Source organism: Homo sapiens, chromosome 3 (assembly GCF_000001405.40).
Source record: "Homo sapiens chromosome 3, GRCh38.p14 Primary Assembly".
NCBI lineage: Eukaryota > Metazoa > Chordata > Mammalia > Primates > Hominidae > Homo > Homo sapiens.
Genome location: NC_000003.12, coordinates 53,374,417 through 53,382,296, shown reverse-complemented (window position 1 = coordinate 53,382,296; position 7,880 = coordinate 53,374,417). Strand labels below are relative to the sequence as shown.

The 7,880-nt window shown below is 42.9% G+C and overlaps 1 annotated feature.

The window, feature by feature from the left end:
• Nucleotides 7,014-7,063: a silencer, noted in NCBI's record as "silent region_14465". NCBI's record gives its function as "represses an Ori minimal core promoter by ATAC-STARR-seq in GM12878 lymphoblastoid cells {active_cell/tissue: GM12878}" and the evidence as "EXISTENCE:reporter gene assay evidence [ECO:0000049][PMID:35858748]".

Here is a 7,880-nt window from a genome sequence, read left to right as displayed (position 1 = left end):
GTTGTCTTGAGTATATACTTAGGAATGGAATTTCTGGGTTATAAGGTAACTGTTTAACCTTATAAGGAACTCCCAGACTGTTTCCTGAAGTGGCTGAGGATTTTGCCTTCCCACCAGCAATGTTATGAGTGTTCTAATTTCTCGACATCCTTGCTAACACTTATTTTCTGGTGTTTCTTTTTTTTTTTCATCATAGCCATCCCAGTGGGTGTGAAGTAGTATCTTACTGTGGTTTTGATTTATTTCCCTAATGACTAATGATGTTGAGCATCATTTTATGTTCTTATTGGCCATCTGTATATCTGCTTTGGAGAAATGTCTGTTCAGATTCTTTGCCCATTTTTAAATGCAGTTGTCTTTTTATTCTTTTATGAGTTGTTTAAATATATTTTGGATACTAGATCCTAATCAGAGATAAGATTTACAAATATTTTATTTACAAATGTTTTCTCCCATTCTGTGAGTTGTCTTTTTTTTTTTTTTTTTTTTTGAGACAGGGTCCCCAGGCTGCAGTGCAGAGGTGGTGTGATCACGACTCACTGCAGCCTCAACCTCCCGGGCTCAAGTGATCCTCCCACCTCAGCCTCCTGAATAGCTGGGACTACAGGCACACCACCATGCCAGGCTAATTTTTAAATTTAAAAACAATGTTTTGCAGAGATGAGGTCTCACTAAGTTACCCACATTGGTTTCAAACTCCTGGCTTCACGTGATCCTCTCACCTCAGGATCCCAAAGTGCTGGGATTATAGGGATGAGCCACCATGCCCAGGCTTCTTGCTTTCTTGATAGTCCTTTTCTGCACAGAAGTTTTTTATTTTGATAAAGTTTAATTGACCTGTTTCTTCTTTTGTTGCTTATGCCTTTGGTGTCATGTTTAAGGAACTGTTGCCTACTCCAACGTCATGAAGATTTACACCTATGTTTCCTGCTAAGAGTTATAGTTTTGTAAAATGGCATTTTTATTAAATCATGTTTTGATTTATTTAAGATGACTATCATGCCAAAGCTCCCTGGTTACAAAGGTCACAAAAATATAAAGAAAATACAAAAAATATATTTTAGTCTTATCTTCTATCACATGATGGTATAGGATGTAGTCATTGGAGTCAAATCATGGATTTGACTTCCAGGACTTCTAGGCACCATGTCTAAGTAGCTTCCTTGGAGAATCTGTGTATCCTGACTGAGAATGAGTATTCCAAATTTTATGTGCATTCTATATATTTATCTATTACAAAGATATATATAAATATAGATATATTGTTATACCATTAAAAACTTTTTTTTTTTTTTTTTTTTTGAGACAGGGTCTGGCTCTGTCACCCAGGCTGGAGTGGAATGGCGCCATCTCAGCTCACTGTAACCTCTGCCTCCCAGGCTCAAGCCATCCTTCCAACTCAGCCTCCCAAGTAGCTGGGACTATAGGCATATGCCACCATGCCCGGCTAATTTTTATAATTTTTGTATTTTTTGTAGAGACAGGGTTTCACCATGTTGCCCAAGCTGGTCTTGAGCTCCTGAGCTCAAGCGATCCGCCCACCTCAGCCTCCCAAAGTGCTGGGATTACAGGTATGAGCCACTGTGCCCAGCTGGAAATGTCCATTTTTCCATCTCTTGGGTGACACTCTGGCTAGCTGTTCACTAGCACTGAGCTTTTTGAGAACTAAGCAATTAACTTCTCCAGTATATTTAATTGAAATTTTTTCTTACTATTCCCCTGCTTACTGGGAAGGCACCACAATAGTATATTGTAAAGAGTAAGAATTAGGAAACCTGAGTTTTGGCTCTGACTCTGCCACTAACTGTGTGACCCTGGAGATTCGTCTCATTTCACTGGCCCTTGGTGTCCTCTTTGAGAGAGGAAGAAAGGAAAGAAGGGAGGGAAAAAAGGAGGGAGGGAAAGGAATGCCCTTCCAATTCTGGCAGTCTGATTGTTTGGGACTACATTTAGAAATGTCTTTTCATCTCTATTTGTAGCAAGCAGAATTGTTCCAGCCAGTTTTCAGGCTATTTGTGTGTGCTAACCTTTGTGGTAGCACTTCTCTCACATTTGGCTTTTGGAAGTAATTCCTAGCCCAAATAACAATCTTCTTTTCCTTGTTTGGCATCTCTACCCAAAAGCCAAACATTGATACATCTGAAGGGAAGGCAGGCTGTGGGCCAGGCTCACAGATAGGCATAAATGTTGACTCCCCAAGTATGCTGTGGGAGATCAAAGGGGAAGATGTGCTGACTAAATGTCCCATGAGAATCCCTGTGAGCCCATAACTTGGAGGAACTGTGTGGTCCCTGACCAGCCTAAGTTTTGGAAAGGAATCAGAAGGCTCCTCCCGATTCACAGGGTAACCAGCTGGCCAGCTAACATCAAGCAGAAGGCAAACAAAATAATGCTTTAAAATTTCCGCTCCTGCCACTTGCCTTGGGGGGGAAAGAAGTATTTAGACAGTTAATTCACTCATTCACTCATTCAGTGAATATATATTGACAGCCTATAATGTGCCACTATTCTAGGCACCAGGAATACAGCAGGGAACAAAATAAAGCTCCCATAATCATGAAGCTGACACGCTCATGAGGAAGACAGACAACAGACAAGCGAGTAGCTCTACATACATGTGTGTATACATGTGTGCATACATGTATGCATATGTGCATGCATATACTTATGTATGTATGTGTCAGATGGTAAGCACTTTAGGAAAAGGCAAAACAGAGAAAGTGGCATAGGAAATGCGGGGGAAAAAGTTGAGTGTTCATTGCTATTGTAAATGGGGTTGTCAGAGCAGGCTTCATGGATTAGGTGGCATATAAACACAAAACTGGAAGACAAGAAGGTGAGACCTGGAGGAAGAGCATTCTAGGCAGAAAGAACAGTAAGTGCAATGGCCTTGGGCTGAGAACACGTGTGTCATCTATAAGGAATAGCAAAGAGGCCAGCGTGGCCAAATCAGAGACATCAAGGCAGAGAGCAGAGGAGGTGAGTGTGACAGAGTGAGAAGAGGGTACATCGTGTAGGGCTTTAGGACTTGGGCTTTTATTCTCAACAAATGGGGATCCATTGAAGGATTTCAAGCAGAAGAGAGACATGATCTGACTTATGTTTCAAAATGATCTCTTTGAAGGGAGTGCTCACACACGGTTAGTGGGAATGTAAATTAATTCAGCCCCTGTGGAAAGTAGTTTGGAGATTTTTCAAAGAACTAACAATAGAACTACCACTCAACCTTGCAATCCCACTACTGGGTATATATCCAAAGGAAAATAGATTGTTCTACCAAAAAGACACATGTTCTGCTTAGTTTTAGGGAATATTTTTTAAAAGACATGCACTTGTATGTTCACTGCCATGCTATTCACAATAGCAAAAACAGGGAATCAACCCAGGTGCCCATCAACAGTGGACTGGATAAAGAAAATGTGGTGCATATACTCTATAGAATACTATGCAGCCATTAAAAAGAACAAAAGTATGTCCTTTCCAGCAACGTGAATGCAGCTGGGGACCATTTTTCTATGCAAACCAACCCAGAAACACAAAACAAAATATTACATGTTCTTACATGTAAGTGGGAGCTAAGCCCTGGGTACATGCAGACATGTAATCCCAGCACTTCGGGAGGCCAAGGCAGGCAGATCACGAGGTCAGGAGATTGACACCAATCCGGCTAACCCGGTGAAACCCCGTCTCTATAAAACTACAAAAAAATTAGCAAGGCTTGGTGGCGGGTGCCTGTAGTCCCAGCTACTCGGGAAGCTAAGGCAGGAGGATGGCGAGAACCTGGGAGGCCAAGCTTGCAGTGAGCTGAGATCACACCACTGCACTCCAGCCTGGGTGACAGAGCAAGACTCAAAAAAAAAAAAAAAAAAGAAAAGAAAAGAAACCTGCATATGTACCCTCAAATCTAAAATAAAAATTACACAGTAGCTCACACCTGTAATCCCAGCACTTTGGGAGGCCAAGACAGGAAGATCACTTGAGGCCAGGAGTTCCAGCCCCATCTGGACAACAAGTGAGACCTCATATCTAAAAAAAAAAAAAATTAAATTAAAGTTAAATGGAATGACTACAAATCAAAAATAAAAATAAAGTGATCTCTTGAGCTGCTCAGAATACTCTGTTACGGGATGGTAGCATGGACATCAATGAGGAGTTTATTGCAATTACCCAGACAAGAGCTAAAGGGGCTTAGACAAGGGGGTAGCTGTGATCATGAGAAGGGGTCAGATTCTGGATATATTTTGAAGGGAGGACCAAGAGGATTTGCTGATATATGCAATACAGGGAGTGAGAAAAACAGAGAAGTAAAGCATGACGACAAAATGTTTGGTCTGAGCCACTAGAGGGAAGGCTATGGGATGAGCAAGTTGAAGGACAGGAAGGTGTGGTGACTCGGGAGTCCTGTTTTGGTCGTGTTGATTTTGTATTGCATATTAGACATCCAAGAGTAGATGAATAGATTAGCTCTGGAATCAGAGGAAAGGTCCAAATTTAGGAGTTGATGCCATATATGTGTATGGGGTTTAAGCCCCTGAGACTGGAAGAGGGCCCCTGGAGAGTGAGTATGAAGAAGAGCAGAGATGCCCCAGCCCTGGGGCCTTAAGACAGCAGGAAGGGCCAGGCGCAGGGGCCCTCGCCTGTAATCCCAGCACTTGGGAGGCTGAGGTGGGTGGATCACTTGAGGCCAGGAGTTCAAGACCAGCCTGGCCAACGTGGCAATACCCCGTCTCTACTAAAAATACAAAAAAATTAGCTGGGTGTGGTGGCACACACCTGCAATCCCACTACTTGGGAGGCTGAGGCAGGAGAATCACTTGAACCCAGGAGGTGGAGGTTGCAGTGAGCCGAGATCATGCCAATCACTCCAGCCTGGGTGACAGAGCAACACTCTGTCTCAATAAAAAAACAAAGCTGAAAGAGAGAATGGGAGGAGAGGACCTGGAGAGAGACAGTACAGTACAGAATCCTCTTTAGAGAACCCAATGAATGAAAGAAAGCAAAGAGACAAAGAAGGTAGGGTCAACACAGGGTTTTCTGAAAATGAGGCCTCTGCGGAACCCTGTGTTTGCAGGAGCTAGGCACCCAAGCTCACCAGCAGTGCCTGTCCTACCAAGAATCAGAGGCCTCAGTCACCCCTCCGAGGGTACTACTGTGGGGCTGAACCCAGAAACTTCTCCTTTAACTTCAAGTGCACAACAGTAATAAGTGCTTTTATTTTTAGAGTCACTTACTATGCACCAGGCTCCCTAGACATCATTATTACCCCAACTTACAAAGGCAGAAGCAAAGACTTCTGCGAGAAAGGCAAGAATTAGGGAAGGCCTGCATGTGAGGAGAGAATGATCCAGTGGAAAGGGGAGAAAACTGGGAGAGGGGACAGTTGCTGGGGCAATGCTCTCCAGCGGTGCTGGCATGAAGCAGTTAGCTGCAAATAAATCCAGCAGCATGGTCTCACAGGACAGCATGCCAGGGACACAGATTTCTTAGGGGAGGAAAACTGTCACTGGGTTTGTTCTATTTAAGGGACCCAGAGAATGAATCTGTGATGCGTCCTCATCCTTGGGCAGCATCTTCCTGTAAACACTCTCCTATGATCAGGCCTTAAATCAGCTATGATTATTCTTCATTAATAACAGTCCCACCTAACAACTACACAGTACCCTCTTCCCAAGAGTCTTTCAATTTTTAAAATTATTTTTAGTTTTTCAAGAGGAAATGACAGAGAAAACAAAACATAATCCCGCTGTACAGATATATATTAATATATAAATAATATATAATATTAATATATATTTCAATATATATTATATATTACATAAAATATATATTATACATACATTTTTATAGTTATATTTTTATATAGTATATATTTTTATATACTTCATATATATGATTTTTTTTTAATTTTTTGTGTGTGTTTGTGGTAGGGTCTCACTCTGTCGCCCAGGCTGGAGTGCAGTGACACAGTCTTGGCTCACTGCAACCTCCACCTCCCGGGCTAAGCGATTCTCGTGTCTCAGCCTCCTGAGTAGCTGGAATTACAGGCTCACACCACCACAACTGGCTAATTTTTGTATTTTTTGTAGAGACAGGGTTTCACCATGTTGGCCAGGCTGGTCTCTAACTCCTGGACTCAGGAGATCTGCCCGCCTCAGCCTCCCAAAGTGCTGAGATTACAGGTATGAGCCACTGCACCCGGCTTATATATATATATTTTAAGACAGGATCTTACTGTGTTGCCCAGGCTGGAGTGCAGTGTCACCATCACAGCTGACTGCAGCCTCAAACTCCTGAGCTCCTCCCACCTCAGCCTCCCAAGTCTGGGACTACAGGCAGGAACCACAGCAGTGGCCCCCTGTTAATATTTTTAATAGAAATAATAAAATGAAGAGTAAAGCCTCCCTCCCCTGTCCTAGTCTATTCCGTAAAGATAACCACAGCTCTTTATTTTTCTAGAAAAAAATTGCATATATCACCTATATGTTTGAGTAAAAATTCATACACAAAACCCATCATGCTATAAATTACTACTCTGCACCTCAGTCTTAATATATCTTGGCAATTTTTATCTACATATTTATTTTAACGGTCATGGTGCACGTTTTAAAAAGTGCTTTGCCAGGCCATGCAGGTGGCTCATGCCTGTAATCCCAGCACTTTGGGAGGCCGAGGCGGGCAGATTACCTGAGGTCAGGAGTTTGAAACCAGCCTGACCAACATGGTGAAACCCCATCTCTATTAAAAATACAAAAATTAGCCAGGTGTGGTGGTGTGCGCCTGTAATCCCAGCTACTCGGGAGGCTGAGGCAAGAGAATCGCTTGAACCTGGGAGGCAGAGGTTGTGATGAGCCAAGATCGCGCCACTGTACTCCAGCCTGGGCGACAGAGCGAAACTCCGTCTCAAAGAAAAAAAGAAAAGCGCTTTGCCATTTGTCATATCTTAGTCTCATCGAAACACATTGAGAAAAGAATACTTTATTTTGCAGATAACAAAATTGACCCAGAGTGACATTAAGTGACCTGTCCAAGGTCTCCCGGGAGTTGGAAGCTGAGGCAATAGTAGACACTGGGTTCCTGTCACTCCCTGTACCACAGCGCCTCCCAGTGGCGTCCAGGTGACATTTTTCACCCACAGCACTACTGGGGCCATCCAACACACCCTCTTCCTCCACATAGTCCACCAGATCTCAGGAAAATTTTCATCCACATTATTAAGACCATCCCATAGTCAAAAGCAATATGTCTCTTTTTTTTTTTTTTTAGATGGAGTCTCACTCTGTCGCCCGGGCTGGAGTGCAGTGGCATGATCCCAGCTCAATGCAACCTCTGCCTCCTGGGTTCAAGCAATTCTCCTGCCTCAGCCTCCCGAGTAGCTGGGACTACGGGCACATGCCACCACTCCCAGTTAATTTTTGTATTTTTAGTAGAGATGGGATTTCACCATGTTGGCCAGGCTGGTCTCAAACTCCTGACCTCAAGTGGTCAGCCTGCACTGGCCTCCCAAAGTGTTAGGATTACAGGCATGAGCCACCACGCCAGGCCCCACTGTGTCTCATTTTTACAGACTTTCTTTATTCATGAAATAATTTTTATAGCCATTGCATTGGGATTTAAAATTCTAAATAGAAAGTTAAGTTGTACATCTTATAATATCTAATATTCTAAGCCTTTCAGAGTGGAAAGAGAAGATATGGATGCTAGGGTAAGTTACTTTTGATCAATTTTTTTTAAGTCCAATGTACAGAGTATGTTCAAATGTCTGTGGTTCTTAACTTTTTTGTGAGACACGGACCCTTTTGTTGAAAATCTGATGAAAGCTACCAATCCTCTCCGGTGACAAAAGCACAGACACCTAAAATCTTGCCTTCAATACCAAGGCA